Below are 17,753 nucleotides of genomic sequence, written 5' to 3'. Positions count from 1 at the left end.
ATCCACCTGCCTCAGCCTCCCAAAATGCTGGGATTACAGGCATAAGCCACAGCACCCAGCCAGGTTATTCTTAAAAGAAAATGAATTCGATAACTCTGTTAGAAAAAAAAAAACTAAAATAAATCCAGGTGTCCCGCAAAAAGTTATGAAACTTTCAGGACAAATTCTAATCATAAAGTACTGCATGGATATGAAATCAAACAAATAAAGATATTAAGACCCATGAAAATTTTAGCCCGGTTATTTTCACTTGTGTAAGCATATGAGGTTGGCAAGAAAATTGTCACTGTGTGTTATTGCAGTGACAGACTTCAATGCAGTGTTGCCACAAGTTCTTGGTCTAGCAGATTCCTACAAGAAGGATGTGAGGACTGGCGACACAACAGTCAATTTTGTATTCTCAATATCATGGAAGGAGGCATGGCATTGAATAGCAGAAAGATTCCATAAAGGTAAGTTTAAAAGAATTTGACCTTCAGTCAATCTCTATTTCAGGCATGAATGCAAAAAAATGCAGGCTATATGCACAACCTGCAACCGTACAGAGTGCTGCTTGAAAAACACTTCTTCAAAAAGATGAAATCACAGACCAGAAAAAAAAGAATGGACAAATGACAGTATAGAAGATAGGTCTGCATCTGCAAATTAGACTTTCTCTTTCTTTCTCTCTCTCTCTCTTTCTTGACAGAGTCTCGCTCTGTTGCCAGGCTGGAGTGCAGTGGCACCATCTCGGTTCACTGCAACCTTTGCCTTCCAGGTTCAAGCAATTCTCCTGCCTCAGCCTACCCAGTAGCTGGGACTACAGGCTCCCGCCACCATGCCCAGCTAATCTTTGTATTTTTAGTAGAGACAAGGTTGCACCATGTTGGCCAGGCTGGTCTTGAATTACTAACCTCAGATGATCCACCCACCTCAGCCTCTCAAAGTGCTGGGATTACAGGTGAGAGCCACCGCGTCTGGCCTAAACTTTCTATTAAAATAAATCTAGTGAGATCCAGAAACCCACATCCACCAGTGATTTGTTCCAAGTCTCTCAAGGTTTCTTTGGTGCAAATAACATTTTCCATTTATCTGGCATCAGGAAATTGGTGGGTTTTTCTTCTTCTTCATTTTTTCATATTAACCTGGCTACCCATGGGTAGAGTCAGCAGGGCAACATTAAATTGAAAAAAAAAAAAAAAGATGCCCCCATACGATGGCCTGAGAGTGGAGACCAGTGACTCAAAAGCATAAGGCTGGTTCCAAAACGTCAAACTTCTGCAGTCTCAGCTTCAGGTGAGGAAGGCAGCTCTCACTCAGGGAAAGAGCCAAAGTTAGAAACAGTGCAGCTCTTGCCAGTCATTGACCTAAGGCCAGGCGGCTCCTCAGATGACCTGCAAATTGGGGACACACCACGGCATGCAGCAGGTGGGCTGAAGGATCCTGCTCCCAGTGGGTTTTTGCAGGGGACGTTCTGATTCCCTTAGCTGACGAATATGATCCTATGTTCCCTTATGATTATGAGAAAGTAGTGAAGTGCCAAAGAGAGGAACGACAGACACAGCAGGAGCTAGAAATATGAAAGGAAATAGAAGAAAGGGAAAAGAGGCCTGAAGACAGGCAAGAAATTAGGGGAGTTCTGATCAAGGCGACCAAATCCAGATTCTGATGAAGGGGAAGATTAGGAGGGAGAGAGGAGGAAAAGTAGTAGGGTGGAGCTGCCATTGCCCCTCCCACTTCTCTGGTAGAGAAAGACCAAGAGTCACCCCGAGATTTTCCTTATGAAGAGGATTCAAGACCTCAGTCACGGTCTTCCAAAGCAGCCATTCCTCCCCCAGTGAAGGAGGAACAGGACAGACTGAGATCTCCAAACCGTCCTAGCAGCTCCTTCCTCGCTAACGTGGTGGGAACGGTGGTGCACAACATCATGCAGAAGCGCAGCTTCCGGGAAGGCTGGGGCCTCGGGGAGCACCTGCAGGGGCTTCGAGACGCCTTTCCGGTGGGGAAGACTAGCAAATCAGGCGGCAAGATCATCGTGGGCGACGCCGCAGAGAAAGATGCATTGAAAGATCAGGTACAAATCCACTGACTGAAATACTTGAGTCCTACTAAGGTGGTCCTACTAAGGAACATGGTTGGTGAAGGGGAGGTGGAAGAAGACTTGGAAGTTGAAACCAGAGAAGAATGTGTGATGACATATTTTTCAGTTGATATGGTTTCCTATGAGACATAGCATCATTAAGGATAAAATAAGTGAAACTGAAAAGAGTATAGTTAATCTAGTTTTCATAATGAGTTCATTCTGTTATGTTTCTTTTTCTTTTCCATTGTCAATTTATATTGGCTCAGAGAAAACAGGCTTGATGGATAAAGTCCATGGTATTTCCCAATTTTGCCATGAAAAATATGGCAAAGTTAGAAAATGTGTGATATGTGAAATTCTTGGTGTCCCTGATGATGAAGCACAGACCTTTTTAGAATTTGAGAGTTGAGTCAGCAATTAAAGCTGTTGTTCACTTGAATAGAAGGTATTTTGGTGGACAGGTGGCAAGAGGATGTTTTTACATTTGTACAAATTCAGCATCTTGGATTTGGTGGAACAAGTTTGATTTTAAGAACTAGAGCATGAGTCATCTCTGGTGACCCTTAAATGACAAGCAGGCTGAGAAAAGAAGGAAAAAGGTCACAGCCTCCATGGCTGTTAGATACTGAGACTCTTGGAAGGACCTCCAAGATATACGTTGATTGATCCCTTTTCATTTTGTGGTTTTTAAATATTGTATAAAAATCCAAATCCTTTTTAATAAATAAATAAAACGTGCAGCTGACTAGTTTCAATCATTGGTAGATATTATACTGTAGGAATGAAGTTAGTGTCTGCAGCTGTACATATTCAGGCCATTCTAAATATATAAGCTAGTTAGGAAGAAAATACTGTGGATTTTATCCATCAAGCCTGTTTTCTCCAGGCCAGTATAAAACAAATGGAAAGGAAAAAGAAACATAATGAAATGAACTCATTATTAAAACTGGATTACAGGATTAATTTTAATCTTTTCAGTTTCACTTATTTGACTCTTAGTGATGCTATGTGTCATAGGAAACCGTATGAACAGAAATATCCCAAGAAGTAAATTTGCTTAGAAAACAGAAAAGGGCTTATTAGTCTCTTTCAGTGCACTGCACAGCATTCAAGAAGAATTTGGGTCATGTGGTCTTTAAATTACTAAAATGAGTAATGAATACTAGCGGAACCAAAGGCTGTTTCTATGTGAAGAAATGATCTATTTTGGGTTTATATACATCAGTAAAATTTAACAACCAGCTTATGCTGTTAAACATGGTGGTTAGAGCTGGTGTTTCCCGAAGTTTACTATACAGATGGGTAAATAAAGTTACAAAAGCACACACAAGGAATGCAAAATTCACTGGAAAAACTAGGTATGTTAAGAATATTTTAAAAACTAAATTTTAGGCTGGGCATGGTGGCTCATGCCTGTAATCCTGGCACTTTGGGAGGCTGAGGTGGATGGATCACCTCAGACCAACCTGAACAACGTGGCAAAACTCTGTCTCTACAAAATACGAAGAAAAACAACAACAACAAAAATTAGCTGGGTGTGGTGGTGCAGGCCTGCAGTCCCAGCTACTCCAGAGGCTGAGGTGGAAGAAGTGCTTGAGCTTGGAGAGGCAGAGGCTGCAGTGAGCTGTGATTGCTCCATTGCACTCCAGCCTGGGCAACAGAGTGACTCCCTGTCTAAAAAAAAAGCAAAACAATGAAACACCACCCCCCTAAATTTTATAAAGCAAATCTAAAAGCAAAAATGAAAATTGCCTAACAATAGCAAAATGGGACAGTAGAACTGATAAAATGTGGTATATTCATGTAACAATATATACATTCTTTTGAAAAATTAGCAATATTTTTAACTGTACATATATGATCTATTTCACAGTAAAAATGAATAAAATTATGATATGCATAAAAATAACTCAAAAGCATTTCTCACATTAGCATGTATATATTTATGGAAATGGGCTCTTGAATAATCTCACCTGTAGAATTTAAACCCTAAAGGTGATACTATATTTATACTTTGACAAATCATTTTCTATAATCAACTTTATTTAGTATCACTTAAAAAAATGAATAGTACTTTCATTCTTATCCCTTTTAGTGCTTCCTAAATATTTTACCTTTGAAATGATAGGTCTTGGATATATTGGCTTATTTGTTTTTTGTTATAAAATCTGTCATCTATAGCAAATGTTTTAATACAATTTGAGGCACATATGCACACCTCGGAATATGAGGAAAGAAAACAATCAGAAACTTTGCAGATTGACATTGTCTGTTTTCACAGTTGCTCTTGGAAAGTTTGCTCTGAAGGACTGTTAGAGTTTAGAAAATGAGTTTTATAATTTCCATGCTGACAGCCAATTTTAGGGATGAATTTTACCTTTTTTTTTTTTTTGAGACGGCGTCTCACTCTGTCACCCAGGCTGGAGTGCAGTGGCGCAGTCTCAGCTCACTGTATAAGCTCTGCCTCCCAGGTTCATGCCATTCTCCTGCCTCAGCCTCCTGGGAAGCTGGGACTACAGGCGCCCACCACCATGCCCAGCTAATTTTTTTTTTTTTGTATTTTTAGTAGAGACGGGGTTTCACCGTGTTAGCCAGGATGGTCTCGATCTCCTGACCTTGTGATCCAGCTGCCTAGGCCTCCCAAAGTGCTGGGATTACAGGCGTGAGCCACTGTGCCTGGCCGAATTTTACTTTCATATTGTGCTGTCTCCAACATAATTTTAAAAGGATTCTGGAAAAAAAAAAACAGTAAAATGCAAAACTATACTAATACTCTCAAGAAGCACCTCAAGCATTGATTAGCAAATGTATCTTATTATTTACAGAGTTAAATGACATTTCTAATGACCAAGGACTTTCTGAGTAAACATCCCTGGGCAGAAGATTTATTGCACCCTTCTGTGACCTCCCCACTCTGACTGCCCTCTCTTAGGCTGCAGTGTCTCTTGGCTGTACTCAATCATTGACTGAGCTGGCAAATATTCTGTTTATTATTGTCTAGGAAAGGCTGATGCGCTCCCTGACTTGGTAAAATGTTTCACTGCATCATTACTGGGCAATAAAAATAAGTTGAAATAACCGACTGAGTAAAACTATTAGTCACTTTGGGCAAAGCATGGCCTTTCTTCATGCGGCAGTGGGAAATCAATAAGATGCTCCAGAGGAGCCGAGGCTCTAGGGATACCTGTATGGTGCAATAAAACCAGCACATAAAGCAGTGGAAAAGGTAGTGGCACTCATTTCACACTGTTACAATTCCGTTGGGCACAATGATGAAGGGAAGCTTCATAAAGGGTGGTCTATTTAAAATCGGTTCCTGAGTGTGATCTTTTATTTAGGCCTATCTGGAAGACATGCATTTCAGTCCTTGATTTGTAGTCTTTTTTCAACAACCCCATGAAACAAAAGGGATCCAGCATGGTGATACTGTTTCATGGTGATACAACCCCATGAAACAAAAGGGATCCAGCATGATGATCCAGCATGGTGATACATAATGATACTGTGTTATTTACCTGGAATTTGGTAAGAGAGCAGATTTTCAATGACTTCACTCCCCTCTGCCATCAACATGGTAACTATGTGTGATGTGATGGATGTGTTAATCAACTTGACTGTGGTAATCAGAACACAGTGTATACCTATATCAAATCATCACATAGTATACCTTAAATATATAGAATTTTTATTTGTCAAATAAATATTTTAATTTTTTTGAAAAAGGGATTTATGGCAGTGTAGCAGCAGTGGGTGGTAAGGTCTGGGTCGGGTTCAGCCCCAGGTGGGATGTGGGGTCAGGGAGGAACCCAGTAAACAGCCCTGGCCTTGCAGGTGTAACAGTCTAGGCCTCTGTCTTCCTGAGGCGTTGTTCCTGCATGTTGTCCCAGCGTCTTCCTTCTCTGTGTGTCTCTGCACCTCCATTTCCATTTTTCATAAGGACACTGGTCATATTGGATTGGAGCTCACCTTAATGACCTCATTTTAACTTGATTACCTCTGCAAAGATCTTATCTCCAAACAAGGTCACATTCTGGAGTTCATATGAATTTGAGGGAAAACAATTCAATCCATAATATCATCTCTGAAATAAGGACAACTTTACTTATGCATATACAATTTGGGTTGTGGTTGCTGCGTATCTGTTTCAAATGGGTTATGGGCTCTTCTCACACTTTCAGGTCAAAGGGGACTTTGGAATCCATAGTGTATCTATGTATGCATATATGATCATGGATCAGCCTTCCCATTTCTGTCACTGTGTCCCTATATGGTTCATTATCATGTATGTTACTTCACTCGAAGGCCATACACAATCCAAACAAAACAAAACACAGAAACTGTGTTGGCTATTTTGACTTTCTGTTGAAACTATTCTCTTTGGTCATATATATATTTAAAAAATATTTTATATATATATATTTTTAAAAAATATTTTTTATATATATATATATATTTTTTTTTTTTCAAGTGATTACCCTGCCTCAGCCTCCCAAGTAGCTGGGATTACAGGCACCTGCCATCATGCCCGGCTAAATTTTTTTTGTGTGTGTATTTTTGTAGATACAGGGTTTCACCATTTTAGCCAGGCTCGTCTTCAACTCCTGATCTCAGGTGATCCGCCGGCCTCAGCCTCCCAGATTGCTGGGATTACAGGCGTGGGCCACCACCTAAGATATATGTATATATATATATGTAATCTTTTTCAGTATATTCTCAGGGTGTGTTTGAGGAAACCTTTTTTTTTTTTTTTTTTTTTTGGCCATTGTCCAAGGGTTTAGAACTGAATGGGAATGTCTGTAAATGGATCTGATGGAGGTTGGAATGTGTATCAGCTTTTAATCATCACTGTAACAAATTACTAAAACATTCTCTTTATTATCTCTCACTTTAGAAGTGTGGGAGGGCTGGACTGATGACTCTGCTTATAGTCTTACAAGGACAAAATCAAGGTGCTCTTGGGCTCCTTATGAAGGCCCTAGGGCAGAATGTGTGTCCAAGCACATACAGGTTAGAGCAGAATTCAACTTCTTGTAGTTGTAGGAGTGAGGTCCCAATTCATCACTGGCTGGTAGTTGGGGCCTCTCAGCAATGTCAGGCTGCCTGCGTTGCTCTTCATAGTGCCCAGTTTATTTTCTAAACCAGCAATGGTGCAGAGAGACATTCTCCTGCTTCTAGTTTCTCTGGCTTCCCCTCACCCACACCTCTCTTCTGTGTCTCTTCTGCCTCCAACCAGAGTTAAATCTCTTAAGTGCTCATGTGATTACATGGAGCCCACTGCATGAATCACGATCATCTCCTAAGGTCTGCAACCTTAATTACATCTGCAAAATCCCTTATGTGATGTAACATATTCAGTTTCCAGGGCATCTTGGAGAGTCATTCTCATTCTTGCTGCCACAAAATATTCCTCATTCCTTCATGAAATGTTGTTTGCTTTCATATATTTGTCTCTAGAGAAGCATCAGGTATTTTCTCAACATCACTTCATGTTAAAAACCCTCAACAAATGAGGCATTGGAGGAACATACTTCAACATAGTAAGAGCCACCTATGACAAACCCACAGCCAGCATCATACTGAACGGGCAAAAGATGTGAAGCATTCCCCTTGAAAACTGGGACAAGACAGGGATACCGTCTCTCATTATTCCTACCCAACATAGTACTGGATGTCCTCGCCAGAGCAATCAGGCAAGAGAGAGAAACAAAAGGCATCTAAACAGGAGAAAAAGAGGTCAAACTGTCTCTGTTTGCAGATGATATGATTCTGTACCTACAAAACCCCATCGTCTCTGCCCAAAAGCTTCTCGATCTGATAATCTCAGCAAAGTTTCAGGATACAAAATTAATGTACAAAAATTAGTAGCATTCCTATATACCAACAACATGCAAGCTGAGAGCCAAATCAAGAATGCAATCCTATTCGCAATGACCACAAAAAGAATAAACTACCTAGAAATACAGCTAACCAGGGAGATGAATGATCTCTACAAGAAGAATTACAAAATACTGCTCAAAGAAATCACAGATGACATACAAATGGAAAAACATTCCATAATCATGGATAGGAATAATAAATATGGTTTTTAACCATATTGGGCCATACTGCCCAAAGCAATTTATAGATTCAATGCTATTCCTATCAAATCACCAATGGCATTCTTCAAAGAACCAGTAAAAACTATTTTAAAATTAATATAGAACCAAAAAAGAGCCTGAATAGCCAAGGGAATCCAAGGCAAAAAGAACAAATCTGGAGGCATTTCGTTAGCCAACTTCAACCTCTACTACAAGGCTATAGTAACCAAAATAGCATAGTACTGGTACAAAAACAGATACACAGACCAATGGAACAGAATAGAGCGCCCAGAAATAATGCCACACACTTACAACCATTTGATCTTCAACAAAGTCGACAAAAACATGCAGTAGGGAAAGGACTCCCTATTCAATAAATGGTGCTGGGATAACTGGCTAACCATAAGCAGTTCCTAGACCCCTTCCTTACACCATATACAAAAATCAACTCAAGATGGATTAAAGAATAAAATGTAAAACCTGTCAGGTGCAGTGGCTCACGCCTATAATCCCAACACTTTGGGAGGGTGAGGTGGGAGGATAGCTTGAACCTCGGAGTTTGAGACAAGCCTGGGCAACATAACGAGACCTCGTCTCTACAAACAATAATAATAATAATAATAATAATAATAATAATAATAATAAATTAGCTGAATGTGGTGGCACGTGCCTGTAGTCCAGGCTAATCAGGAGGCTGAGGCGGGGGAACCTCTTAAGCCTGGGAGGTTGAGGCTGTATCGTGTCATTGCACTCCAGCCTGGGCAACAGGTGAGACTGACTCTAAAGTCTCAAAAAAAAAAAAAAAAGTAAAGCCTATAACTACAAAAATCCTGGAAGATAACCTAGGAAATATAGGAAATGCCATTTTGGACACAGGACATGGCAAAAATTTCATGACAAAGACACCGAAAGCAATTGCAACAAAAACAAAAGTTGACAAATGGGACCTAATTAAACTAAAGGGTTTCTGCACAGCAAAAGAAACTATCCACAGAGTAAACAGACAACCTACTGGAAGAAAATATTCACAAATTATGCATCTGACAAAGGTCTAATGTCTGGAATCTATAAGGAACTTAACAAGAAAGAAAAAAAAACCTACCCCATTAAAAAACGGGCAAAGGACGTGAACAGACACTTTTCAAAAGAAGACATACATGTGGCCAACAAGCATAAGAAAAACTCCTCAGCATCACTAGTCATGAGATAAATGCATATCAAAACCACAATGAGATACCATCTCACACCAGTCAGAATTGCTATTATTTAAAAGGCGAAAAATAACAGGTGCTGGTAAAGCTGTGGAGAAAAGGGAGTGCTTATACACTGCTGGGGGAATTATACATTAGTTCAGCCATTGCAGCAAGCAGTTTCGTGATTTCTCAAAGAACTTAAAGCAGAGCTTCCACTCGACCCAGCAACCCCATTGAGTACACACCCAAAGGAATAATAATCTTTCTACCATAAAGACACACAGACGTGCATGTTCATTCACAATAGCAATGACATAGAATCAACCTAAATACCCATCAACGGTAGCGTAAAGAAAATGTACATATATACCATGGAATACTATGTAGCCATAAAAAAAATGAGATAATGTCCTTTGTAGCAACATGGATGGAGCTGGAGGCCATTATCCAAAGTGAACTAACACAGGAACAGAAAACCAAATACCATGTATTCTGACTTATGAGTGGGAGCTTAGTATTGAGTACCCATGGACACAAAGAAGGGAACAATAGACACCACAGCCTACTTGAGGGTGGAGGGTGGGAGGAGGGTGAAGATCGAAAAACTACCTACTAGGTACTATGCTCATTACCTGGGTGATGGAATAATCTGTACCCCAAGCCCCCATTACATGCAATTTACCTATATAAAAAACCTGAACATGTATACCTCTGAACCTAAAATAAGTTTAAAAAAAAAAAGAGAAGCATCACGTATTTTCTGTAGGAAATGGGAATTATATATGAATATACATTGTCAAAGACTATAATGTTTGAGATTTTCTATTGCTTATTTCATTAGTTTCTTTCTGGACCTATTCCATCTGGGCTAGCAATTCTGAAAACAAAGTAGTGTGGATCAAACTCTGTCATCTGTTTCTGTCACACAGATTACAGCCCTCATCCTGAAGGAGGGACAGATTTCAGTCCCATCCTAATAAAAAAAAAATCTCTGTTCCGTTTACTGTTTTCTTCTACTTGGTTTGGAAAAATTTTGTTAGAGGCAATTGTCGATACCACATATGGCTGAGAGCAGGTATAGGAGGTATCCTGGTACTCATACTTGGAAACCCTTAATTTGGCATCATCCTCAGCACATGAAATTTCTCAGATCACTAACAATCTTGGACCGATGATGATTCCTTAAGCCAACTTCGTTCTTCTGAAAAGGCTGGCGGGCATGGCTGCATTTTTCTGAGGACTCCTATGTTATCATCCACTCAAGATACACCAAGGCATTAACTAATTTTAAAAATCTTGGCCTGGCACAGTGGCTCACGCCTGTAATCCCAGAACTTTGGGAGGCCGAGGCGGTCGAATCACAAGGTCAGGAGATCGAGACCATCCTGGCTAACATGGTGAAAACCCCGTCTCTACTAAAAATACAAAAAATTAGCCAGATGTGATGGTGGGTGCCTGTAGTCCCAGCTACTCAGGAGGCTGAGGCAGGAGAATGGCGTGAACCTGGCAGGGCAGAGCTTGCAGTGAGCCGAGATCGCGCCACTGCACTCCAGCCTGGGGGACACAGCGAGACTCCGCCTCAAAAAATAAAAATAAATAAATAAATAAAAATCTTAAGCTCTTCAGGTTTACTTTGTGTCTGCTTAGAGGAAAAAAGCATCCAACTACAGATATAAATGTATCCATTAATAAAAGGTAAATGGAGGCACAAAAGTTTATTTGAGCTAACAGTGATTCATGAATCACTGTTGAAGCAGCTTCAAATGGGAACTGGTTCAGGGACCCTTTCAAGGGAACAAAAAGGGACAGCTTCTGTAAGGTAAATATAGTAGCAAATTTTTCACTGGTTGTAGTTATACAATTGCCTTATTTGGTTGATCCTGCTGGAAAGTCTCTAGTTATATAAGTTAATTGGCTTCTGATTGGTTAGCCTTAAGTTTGACTTTTTTTATTTTTAAAGCCATTTACAAGAAATAGCTCAAGTTAAGTTTTGCTTATATTGGTAAATCAAGCAAAGTTAAGGCCACTTACAAGGCTTTGTCTGGTCAGAGATACCTCAGGCCATTTTAATTTTCTTTAACAATTTAAATACACCTGTGTGCCAGAGGACAGCTCAGTGAAGTCTTTGAATGTCTGTGGCTGTATATTTGGAAAAGTATATATTCTTTGCGAAATACCACAAATACTGATGAGGTAAAATGCAATGTATAGGACTGCATGTATATAACAAGTCTTCTATTACTAGATCTATATTTCTGTTTACATATAATTTTTATTACTAAGAAAGGCTGAATATATTTACCTTTCCAGTAAGAATTACAAGTAATTAAGTTACCTCAGTAACACTTCAGTGTTTAGGTACAGTGCAAGTGGCTCTCTGTATCTGTGTCCAGCATGGAATTTCGTACCTAGTTGAAAACTTTCTTACTTGAGAGTGAGTTTTCTTATCATATATGTGGTGATATGGGATGATAACAGAATGCTGTAATGTACAGGCATCCATGCCCCCATGTGATAAGTTTTCTCACATGATTGTTTCTCTTAACTGTGGTTTCCAGATATAAAAGCATAATCTTTGGATTCACAGGAGCATTCTAGAATACATAGCAGGGTTTTGCTGTTATTCCTAGTGGTTCTTTTAATTTAAAAAAATCCAAACTTCCTTTATAATCAAAAGATCCACTTGTTTCCATTTCTTTAGCTGTATGAGTTCTCATAGTCAGTTTGGGCTGCTATTAACAGAACCCCATGAACAGAGTGGCTTATACAACAAACAGTTATTTCTCTCAGTCTGGATGCTGGAAAGTCTAAGTCTGAGTTTGAGGCAAAGCAGATGCAGTGTCTGCTTCACAGACCACAGTCTTCGCCTTATAACTTCACATGGCAGGAAAGGCAAGGGAGTTCTCTTGGGCCTCTTTTATAAGGGCACTAATTCCATTCATTAGGGCTCCACCCTCCTGACTTAATTACCCTCCAAAGCCTCCTGACACCATGACTTTGGGGTCAGGATTTCAACATATGAATCTGGGGTGGGGAAGCAAACATTCAATACTTTGCACCAGTGTAACACCAATTATACTGGATTCATTTAATATGCTTGTCTCCTATTAATTAATATTTGTTTACATTGTCAATGTTTTGAAAGTACTTCATAATCAGTATGATATTTCCTATTACGCCTTCTCCATGTAAAAAATATTTATCCATCTATCTATAAACTGAGCTGTGTACTAATAATGATTCAATAGTATAGATTTAGATGTGGACTTAAATATATAAGTAATATTTTATGTAAGCCAATGACTTCAGACAGTACGATTTGTTTTGTTTTTATGAGCTAACTGTTAGAAGTATAAATGGATTTATCTGTTGTAGAGATATGACTATGATATTGTTTGAAAGTTTCCACTTATTTACTACATGTAGCTCAAATATATTTTTCTTTTAATGTTAAATGAAAATATGAAGTTATTTAAACAGCAAGTAAACTTTCTGCAGATACTTATTTTTGTATTGGGAAGAAAAATTGATTAAATGTTTCATGTTTTTTACAAACTCAAAAGGTATTAATTTCATGGCTAGAGATAAATTATTTCTTAGTATCAACTTGGTTTAAATTTGACTAGAGACTCAAAATGCAAAGCAATAAAGATAAAAAGTGGTTCCACTGCCAGTGTCATTCAGTTGCCTTCTCTTACCTCCAAAATAATAGGTGTCACCTGAATCAATGAGCACAGCCACCAGGGGCTGAACAGCTGTGTCATCGTCCACCACCACATTCATATGGCTCCACTTGGCAGAGAAGGACACAGAGTGCCACTGCCCATCGTTTAATCCAGCACCTGGAGGAAATACAATCAGTCAGAGACAACTCTAAATTATGAGCTCTGTAAACACTTGAAAACAATTTGATTCAGATCACTGAATAAGTCAGAGAAGAGTGGTATTTACATGTTCATGTATCACTGAAAAAAACAATAACCACCTATCTTTAATTTAAAAATTTCATTTATTACGAAAATAACACATGAATAAAAATATTACTCTTTCTGAAGAATCACTGTAACAAATTCTGGTAATTTGCTTAAAGTAACTAGAATTTAATTATCAAATATATACAGTAGAAGCCTTTACAATGGGATAAAAACAACACAGTTTGGTTTAATCTTCAAATGTAAAACTTACTTGCTTTACTGAATCTAACAAAAACATTTTACAAGAATCAAGAAAGTGAGTTGATAAAAAATATGTCAAGAATGATTGTGAAAAGGTTTTTTTAGAAAAAGTTGACACAAAATTGCACATACTTATGGGGTGTGACAGGATTTGAAATGGAAGATCACTGGATGTCTGGCTTACTGCACCCATTAATTAAGGTAAACCCTGCTTTCACTGTCTGAGCTATTTTACAGCCCTGTAAACTGTAGAAAACTGATAGTAATGCAAAATGACTTGTACCCATAGAAATACAAATGACTTGTGCCTAGCGAGGTGCAGTTGCTTACTGAACCATTTCATATCTGTCTGTAATTCATTTTGGCATTTCTTATCTGCCTGTATGTGTAGTACTTTGAATTATCCTCTGAACTGATTGTAACATCTTACTGGTTTCTTCATTGATTAGTTAAAATCTTTAACATATATTCGTGTGTTTCTGAATTAAATTATTATTATAGATATAATTATACTGTCTTTTAAAAGTTATTATTTGCTGGGCATGGTGGCTCATGCCTGTAATCCCAGCAGTTTGGGAGGCTGAGGCGGGCAGATCACCTGAGGTTGGGAGTTCGAGACCAGCCTGGCTAACATGGTGAAACCACATTTCTACTAAAAAACAAAAAATTAGCTGGGCATGGTGGCACTAGCCTATAGTCCCAGTCACTTCGGAGGCTGAGGCATAAGAATCACTTGAACCTGGGAGGTGGAGGTTGCAGTATGCTGAGATCACACCACTGTACTCCAGTCTGGGTGACAGAGTGAGACGCTGTCTCAAAAAGATAAAATAAAATAAAATAAAAGCGATTATTTAATATTTGATAAAAAATGCTTAGGAAAGAACTGGAGTTGTACTTTATATATGTACAATATTTTTATATATTTACACTCACATCCACATTATGATTCTTAGTAGTAATTATGAAATTAATCTTGTCAAATAATTTGGTAACATAATGAATTGTCTTTGATGGTAAATTTAAATGTTAAGGTATTTAAAATCACTAGAGGTATTCCGTGCTTTCTTTTACCTGATAATATGTCAAAGATACATGCCAATAAATGGGCTAAAAATAAGATTAGCTTCCTGAGGCCTATTAAATTAACTTTGCACTGAAGTTTAAAATTAGGCCAAGATTGAAACTATTTCAGAAGTTACATATATTATAATAAACTTTAGACTAACAGAAATTTTCCTATAAAGTTAACATTTTACTTGATAGTCTTGGGAAACCTGTAAATTATTAAAATGACTCTATGCTTCATTTATTTTTCTTCCTAACATGCATTTATGTGAAGTTAGTATATTATTAGCATTTCAAATGTAGTACTTCTTAAAAATTAAACATTAACATTAATATTTTAGCTTTCCCTTTTAACCTTCAGTGATGTATGAAACAGAAACAGAAGTAGTAATAAAGTGTAAGGAAATAAATTATTCTTTAAAATCAACCAAGATTCTGGATGTCTTCAATGTAAAACTAGGCATTGTCTAAACACAATCTGGAGGATTATATGATTCTGCAGGTTTCTGTGCCTTTTACCTTCTTTGAATTTTTTTTTTTTTTTTTTTTTTTTTTTGAGATGGAGTCTCGCTCTGTCACCCAGGCTGGAGTGCAGTGGTGCCATCTCGGTTCACTGCAAGCTCCGCCTTCCGGGTTCAAGCCATTCTCCTGCCTCAGCCTCCTGAGTAGCTAGGACTACAGGCACCCGCCACCACGCCTGGCTAATTTTTTTGTATTTTTAGTAGAGATGGGGTTTCACCGTTGTTAGCCAGGATGGTCTCAATCTCCTGACCTCGTGATCTGTATGCCTTGGCCTCCCAAATTGCTGGGATTACAGGCGTGAGCCACCACACCTGGCCCCTTCTTTGAATTCTTTACCACCCTGTGAATTGTAGAAAATTCAAAGCAGGCAAATGATTATTGTCCATAGACATGCAAATGAATTTTGTCTGGCAGAAATACAACTGAACTTCTTCCTGGTTCCTCTACCCCATCCCATGGAATAAGCCAGTTTTACATTATACACAAAATCATTGCAGCAGTAACATCTTACTGATTCCCTCATAAACTAATGAGTTAAACAAAATCTTTGACATGTTCTTTTTATAACTGCAAAAAGTGCCCTCTTTAAGAATATCTTTTGACAAATAAAAGCAGATCTTTGTATAACTGTTTTCATGTCTATCATCCACATTTGTTTTCTTTTTGTTTTCTATTAGGTTGTATTTGGCCTTTGGCCATAGTTTATGCACAAGAAAATCAGATACAGTAGAATCTGTAAATATTTCAATGAGAAGTTACTAAATTAATTGCCCACAACATAGATGTTATTTTAAACACATTTGATATGAAGATGATCTCTTGTTAACAACTACAACATTTTAACTGCAGAGGCAAAATATCATACTCACAAAGCCATGAGCTAAAGCAAAATCCTGATGAGATTTAAGAACTTTAATTATATTTAATTCTAGTTATTGTGCAACCCAGAACTGGATGAAGTGCTTGTTCAGCACTTCATTGAATCCAGAATATATGCAACTCATCAGCAGTAAAACTGAACCAACTACTGTAGGAAAAAAATTGAGGGCAGTCTTTGAAATGGGCAAAGGAGATTACTGGGTATCTTTTCAATGGAAAGATCAGCTGATATTACGGGATTGTAAACCATCATCTTGGACTAGTTACTTTACAGCTGTGTAGTGACAGAAGTTAACTTGCAGAACATTGATAATAATGCAAATAATGCTTGTCCATAGAGATGCAAAGTGTGTACAGAGAAGGGATTTGCCTTTCCCTTTGGATATTGAAAAGTTTAGCTAGTCGGCATCTCTTTTCTGACTATAAATGTGTGGTACTTCTTTAAACAGGCCTTACTGGTGTAAGGGTAAACACAAACCAAAACAAACAAAAGCTTTCTTAGTGCTAAAAGGGATACACACTGTCATTCACTTTTTTTCCTTAGAGCATTTCTTTCAGAAAACTTGTAATTGTACATCTTTAAAATCTTCAAACAAACAAACAAACAAACAAAATCTTATTTAGCCTCTTTCTTGTTTCCAGGAGTGTTTTTCTTGAGGACCTTGGAGACATTTCTTTGAAATGTAAACACCAAGAAAGGCAGTGCTCCTATCTCCTTGTCTCCGTGGGATTTTAACGTAGGTGCCTGGCTCCAAGTTGCAACTACCCACTTGTCAAAGAGACATGGAGTTTAGTTTTCCTTTGCATAAAGGAGTGTGCCTCCCCAATCACCAGGTGAATGTAAGATGGGCTGTGTAGCAAAAGGCGCTGTCAAGTCCTCTTACTTGAGGACAAGTTGTCCTTTATCTTTAGAACATGTATGTAATGGGTTGTATCTGCCTGGCTATATAAATGGATGAAATTTCTTTATCTTTGCAATCACATTAGTGATTGCCTGAAATGTACATCACAGTCTGGCTTAATACTTATTCCATAATAAGACTATTTCATTTCTACCTTGTGAAACTGATTCACTATGTTGGTAGGCAACTTTATCTTTACTTATTTCCCTAACACTGGTTCTCTCATCAATGAGTTAAAGAAAATCTCTGACATGTGTTCATTCTGTATCTGTGTGTGGGTCACGATTTTAACCTTTCTTGGAAAAAATCTTATTCGTGAGGAAATGGAAACTAGGTTTGCATTTCTAAAAGATAAAAAATATACGTCTCCTCTGAATATCTGTTTTATCTCCCCTGAAACACCTGTGTGAGGTGGACACAGATTCTAACACCCAGGACTTGCCTGATTGTTCCAGAAGTACTGAGATAAGGCCCCACCCTCCGAATTTCTTCACGGGTCTTGAAATCGTGCTTTCGTACCACAACATTTAATAGCAGTATAGTCACGTGTGCCTCTTACAGCCAAAAGGAATCTTTTTTTGAGTATGATATCCCCCTGGTCTCAAGCAGAAGTCAGCCTCTTCGTCTGTGCCTTTTTCTTTTTCAGATTACGCTTTTTTTTTTTTAAAGCCCCCATTTAGTTCCGATGCCAATTTAGGCACAATGTCAATTTAGGACCCAGTGCTCCTCCCATCTGCAAATCCAATCATCAGAATCCAGCAGCTCTGTAGTTAACAAACTTGCCCACATCTGACTGCATGTGAGATTAGTTCCCATCTATTGTAACTCAGTCTGGCTTCATGGGATTTGAGCCCCTAACCTAGCATTTGCCCAACAAA

The 17,753-nt window shown here is 38.4% G+C and overlaps 2 pseudogenes across 1 annotated transcript in view; one reads left to right on the top strand and one right to left on the bottom strand.

Annotated features, from left to right (window-relative positions):
* CNTNAP3P2 (CNTNAP3 pseudogene 2) overlaps positions 1 to 17,753 on the bottom strand; it is a 237,697-nt pseudogene that overhangs the window by 82,907 nt on the left and 137,037 nt on the right. The window contains exon 9 of the transcript NR_111893.2: positions 13,031 to 13,174. The product of NR_111893.2 is annotated as a CNTNAP3 pseudogene 2 (transcript). The remainder of the gene's footprint in view (positions 1 to 13,030; positions 13,175 to 17,753) is intronic.
* Positions 1,127 to 2,813, top strand: RBM17P2 (RNA binding motif protein 17 pseudogene 2; annotated as a pseudogene).

The sequence above is a fragment of the Homo sapiens genome, chromosome 9 (assembly GCF_000001405.40).
Source record: "Homo sapiens chromosome 9, GRCh38.p14 Primary Assembly".
NCBI lineage: Eukaryota > Metazoa > Chordata > Mammalia > Primates > Hominidae > Homo > Homo sapiens.
The sequence above is the reverse complement of the archived record's forward strand: the minus strand, read 5'-3'. Positions and strand labels throughout refer to the sequence as shown.